This window comes from Homo sapiens, chromosome 6, assembly GCF_000001405.40.
Source record: "Homo sapiens chromosome 6, GRCh38.p14 Primary Assembly".
Lineage (NCBI taxonomy): Eukaryota > Metazoa > Chordata > Mammalia > Primates > Hominidae > Homo > Homo sapiens.
Genome location: NC_000006.12, coordinates 63,552,444 through 63,563,877, shown reverse-complemented (window position 1 = coordinate 63,563,877; position 11,434 = coordinate 63,552,444). Strand labels below are relative to the sequence as shown.

The following is an 11,434-nucleotide window of genomic DNA, read 5'->3' as shown; positions in this document are numbered from 1 at the left end:
GCATCCTATTCCCAGTTTTTCTAAGTTTTCTTTGCAGGGTTCTTAGTCTCTCAATCCCGTTAACAATGGTGTTCACTGGAGTTTTGTCCTAGGGCCTCCTGGACTCACTTTCCACTTTCCTTGGGGTTTTCACCTACATCCATAGCTGTGGCTGTCAACCTTCCCTCCTTCCCCAACACATATGTGTTAAATGCCTAGCATATGCCAGGCACTCTGCTATCTTATGAATAACATAAACATGTTTTCTGCCCCAATGAAATTTATATACAGGTGAGAAAAGAGAGAAAATAACAAGTAAATAAGCATAGAATATATTTATAATCTGTGCTGTGAAGGAGGTCAACAGAATGGCTGGGGTGACTTACTTTAGACAGTGAAGTCAGGGGTGGTGTCTCCCAGGAGATCCAGATCTAAATGATGAGAATGAATCACAAAAAGAGGGGGAGGAAGAGAGATATTTTTGGTGGAGGAAATGACAACACAGAATTTCAGGTGGGAGTTTGGTTGGTACTCAAGGAGTTGGAAGACCTGAGGGACTGCAGCAATACAAGGGAAGGAAATAAGCCTGGACATCTAGCAGGGACTGGATCACGTAGGACCTTGTAGGCCATGGAAAGGATTTGGATTTATTTTGCTGACAGTGAATCACACCACATATCAGGAAATTTGTTTTAAGAGAATTGTTTTTCTGTTCTGTGGAGAATGGATTGGAGAAGGCCCTAGAGTAGAATTATTTTAACAGGGTGAAACACTTGAGATTTCCTGCCTTGTCAAATGGAAGACAATGTTGGTGTTGACTATGATCAGGACAGTGGAGGCAGAGAAAAGTGGAGAGATTAGAAATATGGAAATAAAATGGAGAAGTTTTACATCACAAAATGCCACACTGCCTCTAAAAATTGTCAAAGGCCAAACAGAGATATAAGGCCATGGTTTTGAGCCTGTTTTATGCTATGGTGCTGAATGTATAGGCACACTGATGAAAAGTTCCATAATTTCACATTTTCATTAGCAATATGTTTGTAGGGAATAAACCAGAAACTTAAAATAAATAAAGGCACTCAAAGTATGCTTAGAGAAAGACACTATTTCTGAGGGTTTTGAGAATATAGCAGCGGGACTCCTAAAAGTTGTATATTTAGGTATTAAGAGAACAATTAAACTCTTGATAGATTACAATAACAGCAAGAATAGCTAAAACTTATTGTGCTCTTGTTGTTTTCCAAGCCATGTGCTAAACACATATTTGCACTGTTTTGTTGAATTTATTAGAATACTCAGACTCTGAGATAGAAATTAGTTAAAAAATCAACTCATAGTGGGTGATATCACTTGAAGTATCTATATAATGAAATACTTTTCGGATATTAAAAGTATCTTGCCAGTCAAGGTGGCTCACGCCTGTAATCCCAGCACTTTGGGAGGCCAAGACAGTTGGATCACTTGAGGTCGGGAGTTCGAGACCAGCCTGACCAACATGGAGAAACGCTGTCTCTACTAAAAATACAAAATTAGCTGGGTGTGGTGGCACATGCCTGTAATCCCAGCTACTCGGGAGGCTGAGGCAGAAGAATCACTTGAACCCGGGAGGCGAAGGTTGTGGTGAGCTGAGACCGCACCATTGCACTCCAGCCTGGGAAACAAGAGCAAAACTCTGTCTCAAAAAAAAAAAAAAAGAAAAAGAAAATATCTTAATGTCTTTAAGATAAATAAATAATTGTAATGTTAAATAAAAAGAAATGCTATAAAAATAGAAAGAAATAAACTAAAATGTTAACAGGTAATAACTGACATTTAAATACTTTATGGGTGTCACTGGGTGATGTGATGATAAACAATTTTTTATTTATAACTTCCTATATTTTGTATTTTTTTTCCAAAAATGATACTCTTACAGTTGGGGAAAAATCATTTCAGATAAATGCTCAAAGAGGTTGCACCGATAGGTCTGTAGCCTTATTGTACTCTCTGCAGCAGAGATAGAAGCACCAGGTTATCCTAACCTGACAGCAGCTGTCAAAAACTTTATAATCACTTTCGTTCTGATTCCATGTTCTTGGATAGTTGATCTGATTATAATTTACTTTCAATGTGTATTTGTTTGCCATCAAATGTGAGAATATAATGCCCAACCAGTGAGAAGCTCCCTGGGAAATTAAAGTTGTTTATGTATCATGTTTGTGGCTATAAACCAAGAAATCACCTCTAAACGTTTGGAAACATCTAAAACCCAAGGTGACTTGGGTATAACCTAAGTCACCTGGGTTGTGATTGTAAGTGCCCTGGAATGTGATTGTAAGCGGAAACAAAATCAATTTTATTTTATCTGCCCAGAGGAAGATTGTGAGAACAGAAGGAAGATGATGACTGGGTACACAGAATAGAAAGGTCTAAAGATATGAAGGTTGTCAGTGTTTATCAGGCACTGTCTAGGGAAGAGGCATTGAATCTGTACTGAATGTGCTGGTTGTTGTAGAAATATACCTTATTATAGGATAGTATTAATAACATTGACTGACATTTATTGAGTGCTTACTATGTGTTGGGTATTAAGCACTATATTAAACCTTTCATAAATCTCTCCAGATTGATATTACTCCCATTATAAAAATCAGGACATGCAGCCTCAGAAAGCTTAGGGTCATACAAGTATTATGTGATGCAGCTGGAATTCAAATTCCAGTGGCTTAACTGCAAGAGTCCCTGCTTCCATCACTCTGTTAGGCTGTACTCATGGCCTTGAAATATCCCTTAAGGTTATTTACTTTCTTATGCTCTGGTTCTTTGCTAAACAAACAAGCTTTCAATTATTAATTTGGCTTCCTACGTGTTCTGATCCTGTAAAGGAATTATTCCATTACAAAGGCACTGGCATTTGGGCTTATATTTCATCCTTCCATGAGTTTAGTAAAAGTGAATCATAAAATATGATTATGCAATACTTTACTGAAAATCTGCCCTTCCTTTTCATTCTGATGGCTACTTCAAGAGATGTTGTTCCCCAGACTAATGCTACTCTAAGTGTAGTCTGTGAACTGGTGCCAATCTATGAACTGTTACTGGTCTGAGAGGAGATAAGCATAGAAACTGAGAGCAAGCATTTAAAAACTTTTACAGCGATTTGACAGGGTAACTTTATTTCTATTGAACTTAATTTCAAAAATTAGGCTTTGTGGCTGGGTGCGGTGGCTCACACCTGTAATCCCAGCATTTTGGGAGGCTGAGGTGGGCAGATCACCTGAGGTCAGGAGTTCGAGACCAGCCTGGCCAACATGGCGAAAACCCATCTTTACTTAAAAAAAATACACAGATTAGTGGGCCATGGTGGTACACGCCTGTAATGCCAGCTAGGGTGGCTGAGGCAGGAGAATCACTTGAACTCGGGAGGCAGAGGTTGCAGTGAGTCTAGATCATGTGCACTGCCTTCCAGCCCGCCCAACAGAATGAGACTCTGTCTCAAGAAAAAAAAAAAAAAGGCTTTGTGTTTTGTTTTTTACTTTTCACTTCTTTTCTTTCTTTCTTTTTTTTTTTTTTTTTTTGAGACGGAGTCTTACTCTTGTCACCCAGGCTGGAGTGCAATGGCGTGATCTCAGCTCACTTTAACCTCTGCTGCCTGGGTTCAAGTGATTCTCCTGCCTCAGCCTCCCAAGTAGCTGGGATTACAGGCGCTTGCCACCACATCCCGCTAATTTTTGTATTTTTAGTAGAGACGGGGTTTCCCCATGTTTGCCAGGCTGGTACTTTTCACTTTTCAAGTAATTCATTTTTATTGAGAGGCACTATTGTAAATGATGAAAACTATGGAAATTGGTTAGATATGTTATGAAATGCATTACCGTGGGGTACCTTCCTTAGTCTTTCATGAATGAGGCCATTCCGTGATCTTCCACAATATTATATATTCCTGTTATGTCCATCCTGGGTTGCTGTTGTCACGAAAAAACACCATCTGGCCAGGCACGGTGGATCACCCCTGTAATTCCAACACTTTGGGAGGCCAAGGCAGGAGGATTGTTTGAGCCCAGGAGTTCGAAACCAGCCTGGGCAAACCTGCCTCAGACTCCCAAAGTGCTAGTATTATATGCATGAACGACCATGCCTGGCTGTGAAATTCATTTTTTTTTTCCTCTTTTGAGACAGAGTCTCATTCTGTCACCCAGGCTGGAGTGCAGTGGCGCGATCTTGGCTCACTGCAACCTCTGCTTCCTGGGTTCCAGTGATTCTCCTGCCTCAGCCTCCTGAGTAGCTGGGATTACAGGCATACACCACCATGCCTGGCTAATTTTTGTATTTTTAGTAGAGACAGGGTTTCACCATGTTGGCCAGGATGGTCTCCATCTCCTGACCTCATGATCCGCCCACCTCGGCCTCCCAAAGTGCTGGGATTACAGGTGTGAGCCACTGCACCTGGCCGTGAAATTCATTTTTTAAACCAAATGATTTTTTTTGCTGCGTTTAAGCCATTTTTCTTTTATTTAGTGTTCACTGTGAAAAGTAAATTTACTGTTTTTACAAGTAAGGATGGAAATGAAACTGTCAAATAGCTTTATACACTATCACTTCCCCCAAATAACTCCACTTAAGTCCTTGCTGTTTACAAGTATCATTATATTATGATCCTTTTAATTAATGTAGAACAGCTTTAATAATCTTTGTTACAAGGGAGTATTTATAAGATATTTTTCCTCATTAGCATGTTATTTGTAAATATGAACTGATTTTGGTGAAGTCAAACTTGTTGATTTCCCGCTAATGGACATGGTGAACATCATTGATTCATCTCTCCAGTGTTCTTTTGACTGATAAGGGGAGCAGAGTGAGCAAAATGATCTATCCTTCTCGCCTCCATACAGTCAAGCCATCCTTATGGCCTTTGATATGTCCTGTTTAAAGCTAATCACCCTTCAACATTTATTCAGTGCTTACTATGTGCAGGCATTGTAATAGACACTTTAGGAGCATTATCTAACTCTTACAACAATCCTACTTGACAGATGAGGCAACTCATTCCATATCTTTATTTCTTTCTTGAAACTCTCTTATGGGGGCCCCTGGGATGGCTTGTCTTCCTCTGCCTCCCTGCCCTATAGGTGTTGGTATTTTAAAGAATATTTCCTATTCTTTCTCTGTCATTCTTATACACTTTACAATTTCAGACTTACTTAGAGGACTTCTTTGGTCTCAACTTCCAAACATTCAAAGATGACCCTAAGATGTGCTTCCAGTAAAGTCTTCTCTTCTGAGCTCTGGATGTATTTATATTTCCATGGGATGAACTGAGGCACCTCATATTCAACATGGTTTAGGCTGAGCCAATAATCTCTCTTCCCCCATGAGACCTGTTCATTTTACTGTTATCATGAGACAATGACTGAAACCTTTGTCCTTCAGGTGCTCAAGCCACAGACATGGCAATCTTACTAGACTCCTCCCTTTTCTTCTTTTCTGTCTGACTGGCTACCACATTCTATTGAGTCTGGAGAGCAGTGGCTCAGAGATTGTCCCCCTCCTTCTAATTTTTTACTGTCAAAAGCCTTATTTGTTCATTTGTTCCTTCTTTCCTTCCCTGCTTCTTTCTCTCCTCCATCCCTCCCTCCTTCCCCCTTTTACTTCCTTCCACAATATTTTCTGAGTTGTATTGCAATAACTTAATTCAATGACTTGTCTTGTCCCATTTAATCCACCCTGCATTTTAAAAATGCATATGTGGCCGGGCACGGTGGCTCACACCTGTAATCCCAGCACTTTGGGAGGCCGAGGTGGGTGGATCACAAGGTCAGGAGTTCGAGACCAGCCTGGCCAATATGGTGAAACCCCGTCTCTACTAAAAATACAAAAATTACCCAGGCATGGTGGTGGGTGCCTGTAGTCACAGCAGGAGAATTGCTTGAACCCAGGAGGCGGAGGTTGCAGTGAGCCGAGATCGCACCCCTGCACTCCAGCCTGGGTGACAGAGCAAGACTCCGTCTCAAAAAAAAAAAAGCATATGTTCAGTATCATTTTAAAAAATGCATATCTGATCTTGCTATCCTCTTTCTCAAAATCCTCCAATGATCCTACACTGACTTTTAGATAAAGTCCAAACTCTTTCGCAAGATATTTAAGACCCTTCAAGATCATGACTGCCTTATAGCCCTACCTCGTGCTCCACTCCATTATGCTTTCTAGATGTTTGAAACCAACTGTGATTTCTAACATAGATGCCACATTTTCTCAGACCTCCATGGCTTTGTATCTGCAATTCCTTTTACCTGGAATTTTCTCTTGCTACTTCCCCTAAAACCTAGTATTAATTTATATTTTTATTTTTATGAAATGGAGTTTCACTCTGTAGCCCAGGCTGGAGTGTAGTGGTGCGATCTCGACTCACTGCAACCTCCATATATATATATATGGAGCAGTTCTCATGCCTCAGCCTCCTGAGTAGCTGGGATTACAGGCACGCACACTACACCAGATAATTTTTGTATTTTTAGTAGAGACAGGGTTTCACCATGTTGGCCAGGCTGGTCTCAAACTCCTGACCTCAGGTGATCCACCTGCATTGGCCTCCCAAAGTTCTGGGATTACAGGCATGAGCCACCATGCCCACACCTAATATTAATTTTTAAATTAAATTTTCCTGACTTCCTCATCAACACAGGTATTCCATTCCCTGTACTTCCATTGTACCTTGCAAATACCTCTATTGCAGCATTCATCCCATGATGATAATCATTTTTTAAATGTCATCTATCTCTCTCACACCCTTTGAAGAATTCCAAGACAAAGGCTGTGTTCTATTAATTTCCCTGTGCTTAACACAGTACTTGGCACATAATAAGTATTTAATAAGAAACTAGCATATTTCATGCTATAATTGTTTCATGCTTGATTTCAGGATGTTTGGATGACTGCGCTAGTGTTTGGTAGACAACAGAAACCCTGAGGAATAGGATCTGGCAGCAGACAATGAGATTAGAGGATGAAATCAAGAAGTGATGATGATAATAGATGGGTTTATCTTGGATAGTATCACCTAAGTGCTACAGATTGTTTACTAATTTCTGCTTGTTATATTTGGGCATTTCTTGTAAAAGTCGATTAACAACTCACTTTTACGTTACTGTTTAGAATAATCATACTTTTTATTCTTTGAAATGAATAACAAGAACTGACAAGCAGTATCAGTGACTCAGGAATAAATTATTGATGTAGTACAGATTCACCCAAAGCGATAGTGACATGCTGATCTTTTTGGCAAAGCCTTTGCTCAGAGAATTTTAGACTTAACTTCCCCTGTGGTATCATCCTCCCATTATGCATTATGAGGCATACAGAAACCACGCCCTGAGAAAAATACCTAACAAGGCACACCTAGGGCAATTTTGCCATAATATCGTTAAGTTGTTTTATTAGGCAGAGCATAGTGGCTCATGCCTGTAATCCCAGCACTTTGGCAGGCCAAGATGGAAGGATCACTTGAGCCCAGGAGCTTGAGACCAGCCTGGGCAACATAGTGAGACCTCGTCTCTACAAAAAAAGAAAAAAAAAGAAAAAGGCAAGAAAAAAAAAAACCAAGTTTGATGTTATACACCTGTATTCCTAGCTACTCTGGAGGCTGAGGCAGGAGGCACCCTGGAGCCTCGGAGGAAGAGCTGCAGTGAGCTGTGATTGTGGCACTGCAACAAAGCAAGAGCCTGTCTCAAAATAAATAAATCACAGTAAAAAATTTTTTAAAATTAAGAAAATAAACTGTTTTCTTGTATTAGGGTGATTAGATTCTTAGATTTGCAAAATGTGAACTTGAAAACTGGAGTAATTTTTTTGGAAATTTAGGGAAAATATTTCTATTGTCTTTATTGTGTTATACCAAAGAAAGGCTGAATAATATTAAAGTTTAATTGAGGCCAGGTACGGTGGCTCACTCCTATAATCCCAGGACTTTGGGAGGCTGAGGCAGGCAGATCACTTGAGGCCAGGAGTTCGCCAGCCTGGCCAACATAGCGAAACCCTGTCTCTACTAAAAATGCAAAAATTAGCTGGGTATTCTGGTACACACCTGTAATTCCAGCTACTTGGGAGACTGAGGCAGGAGAATCGCTTGAACTAGGGAGGCAGAAGTTGCAGTGAGCCGGGATCACGCCATTGCACTCCAGGCTGGGTGACAGAGCGAGACTCCGTCTCAAAAAAAAAAAAAAAAAAAGAGTGTAATTGAGAAGTGAATTGCATACTTTCTGTTGACTCACCATTGCTAGACAGAGTGGATGTATGCCTTTGGTAATACAAAGCTGATATGTCATGCAGTGAGACAAAATCCTCCATAACTACTACAATAGGCACAGAGATTTTTTGTGGTGCCAAGAACTATGATTGCAGCAGCAGCTACACTGGCAGTAGTAATACTTCTGGTAACCCAGGCCTCCTGCCATTTATACAAATGGATAACTGAAGACACTGGAGAAAGGGAGATACTTTTTGGCCATCAGCAATTTCAAGGATTTTCCTTCCTATTAGTCTAGATCTAATCTAATGACTGTGACAACAATATTGAATTATTAAATATTCTAATTTCCAGGGAACTCTCCGAAGTTCCTTGTTTCATTCTAAAAATCTGACTCAATCCTCTAATGTTGGAAATGTTTGCCCTGGAGAGTCATGTACCTCTACTCGGGGCAGCCTCTAAAGATCTACAGAACCCATTTTCTTTGCTGAGCCAACTAGATCTTCTTTGAAGAAGAAAGGGTCAGTTAGCACTATTCTTATATTACCAGAAATGAACAACAATTGTTTTGGGAGTGGAAAGATGAAAAGAAATGGAGGTATGAGTCTTCCAGGAATACATGGAATAATTGCTGCTTTGCTTGGCTGTGTTCTGATATCAGCCACATGTTATCAGAAACCACACCATGTGCTTCAGAACTTCCGACATTGCTGCTAAAAACACAATTGTCTCTTTGTATGATTCTAACATAATTTCTGTGAAAATCTACTATACACCAGCATTGCCTAAGAGGTGGATATACAAACATAAATAAGAGTAAGATTGTCCCCAAAAGTGACCCATATGTAAACAGTGACAATACAGCTTGATAAATTGTTCCATTTTTTTGAGACAGACTTTCACTCTGTCACCCAGGCTAGAGTGTAGTGGTGCGATTTCAGCTCACTGCAACCTCTGCCTCCCTGGTTCAAGGGACTCTTGTGCCTCAGCCTCTCCAGTAGCTGGGACTACATGCCACCATGTCTAATTTTTGTATTTTTAGTAGAGATGGGTTTCACCATGTTGGCCAGGCTGGTCTTGAACTCCTGACCTCAAGTGATCTACCCACCTTGGCCTCCCAAAGTGCTGGGATTACAGGTGTGAGCCACCGTGCCCGGCCTAAATTATGTAATAGGTGTTCCTTATTGTGTGCTATGGGAAGGCTGAGAAGAGATACCTAATTCAGGCTGGAAGGTTGTAATGTGGGAGTGGAGGTAAAGCCCTTGAAACAGTCTTCTAAGGATTTGGGACTACAGTCTAGAAGAAAGTGTATAAGAATTTCTGGTCAAGTTCTGGACAAGATACTCCCAGTATTATGATAAAAGAACATGAATAGAATGCTTTTCATATACTTTGAGGTTTAAGAGAGACAAGAAGCTTGACAAGAATAGAGAAAATTCCTACTGTAATGGAATATACTTAAAAAGAAACTGCAAAACTAAATTATAACTAAATACACTTCTGGTGAGGATTGTAAAGTCTTTTTATTGCCTCTGAGAGGAGGCTACCATCTGTTACTTTGAATATTTGTGCTTTCAGTCTTCTGAATGTTTTTAAATTTAAATTACAGCACTGAATTACTCCTCCCCTCCTCAGATATAGTCAATGTCTATGGAAATTTCTAGACTGGTAATTGGAAATTTTCAGGTGTGGTTATAAGCCTCTTAAAATAAGGCCAACTGATATCACTAACTTTGATGCCCTGCTATTTTTCTTTCGTATTTTCTGTTTTAAACTACTGTAGCCATAACCTTTTGAATAACCTGACTCAAATACGTTAATTGTACTCCATTACAATTATAATCCCAGGCTGGGCAATGGTTTTGTTTAGTTTGGTTATGTTCCTGCCACAATTTCCTCTTCCTTTCTCTTCTCCTACAATCCTTCAGTGAATTTTAAATCATAATTTACCTTTCCTGCTCCTATACACAAAGATACTAAATTCCAATTCCCCCAACCTAATCAGTGATAATGCAATCAATTCTTTACCAGGAAGCTACACATTCCTTAGCTGTCATTCATTAGTTAGAACATCAAGATCTAAATATGTGCTAATGTCCAGGCAAGGCTGACAAATTAGCTACACTGAGACACTAAAATAGCTATACTGCATGACAGGATACCAAACTGGCTTTCATTAACCTGTCTTGGCCAAGAAGAACTTATTTTTAGGCCACCCATGTAACTGGTTATTTATAAGGAGGAAGCACATTGACCTTTGGCTTTCACTACTGAACACACAGTCATGGAGACCAAAATTGTGTGTGAAAATCATTCAGTGACCACAGGAGATTCTATCTGAACCCGAGTCGCTAACAGCATCCTGTTACTTTATGGTCCTGAAGCATGGTTTTGGGTACAAAATTTCAGCCTTGTGTTAAAAGCAGAGCTTTGACATCATCAACAGATTACGTTAAACTAAGCTGTATCACACAATTACTGAGGACTTATTTGATGAGGCAAAATTTGTAGTTCAAATTTGAATTGTATACTTTGGAGGAAAAACTGGTTTGAATATAATCAATATACACAGATATACATTCTCTCTACTACTTTGCAACTGGTGACAAGTTAAATACAGTGCTGGTACATCTGTATGAAGACTCTCGTGCAACTACCTACATCATAGTTCCCAAGAATATTCATTAAAAAAGGTTATGATCATAAAACAATGTTAAAAATAATGAACGGACTTCAAACTATACTACAAGGCTACAGTACCAAAACAGCACGGTACTGGTACCAAAACAGAGATACAGAACAGAGCCCTCAGAAATAATACCACACATCTACAATCATCTGATCTTTGACAAACCTGACAAAAACAAGAAATGGGGAAAGGTTTCCCTATTTAATAAATGGTGTTGGGAAAACTGGCTAGCCATATGTAGAAAGCTGAAACTGGATCCCTTCCTTACACCTTATACAAAAATTAATTCAAGATGGATTAAAGACTTAAATGTTAGAACTAAAACCATAAAAATCCTAGAAGAAAACCTAGGCAATACCATTCAGGACATAGGCATGGGCAAGGACTTCATGTCTAAAACACCAAAAGCAATGGCAACAAAAGCCAAAATTAACAAATGGGATCTAATTAAACTAAAGAGCTTCTGCACAGTAAAAGAAACTACCATCAGAGTGAACAGGCAACCTACAGAATGGGAGAAAATTTTTGCAACCTACTCATCT

General features: G+C 39.6%; 2 protein-coding genes across 7 annotated transcripts in view; one reads left to right on the top strand and one right to left on the bottom strand.

Annotated features, from left to right (window-relative positions):
• LGSN (lengsin, lens protein with glutamine synthetase domain) overlaps positions 1-11,434 on the top strand; it is a 297,657-nt gene that overhangs the window by 9,730 nt on the left and 276,493 nt on the right. The gene's annotated exons all lie outside the window — the stretch shown is intronic.
• PTP4A1 (protein tyrosine phosphatase 4A1) overlaps positions 1-11,434 on the bottom strand; it is a 67,149-nt gene that overhangs the window by 19,711 nt on the left and 36,004 nt on the right. The window contains exon 1 of one of the 6 annotated variants that reach the window (NM_001385259.1): positions 366-419. The exons of the other annotated variants lie outside the window; for them this stretch is intronic. The gene's annotated coding sequence lies outside the window, so the exon portion shown is untranslated. Of the gene's footprint in view, positions 1-365; positions 420-11,434 lie in introns of those variants that run through there. 6 annotated transcript variants of the gene reach the window in all.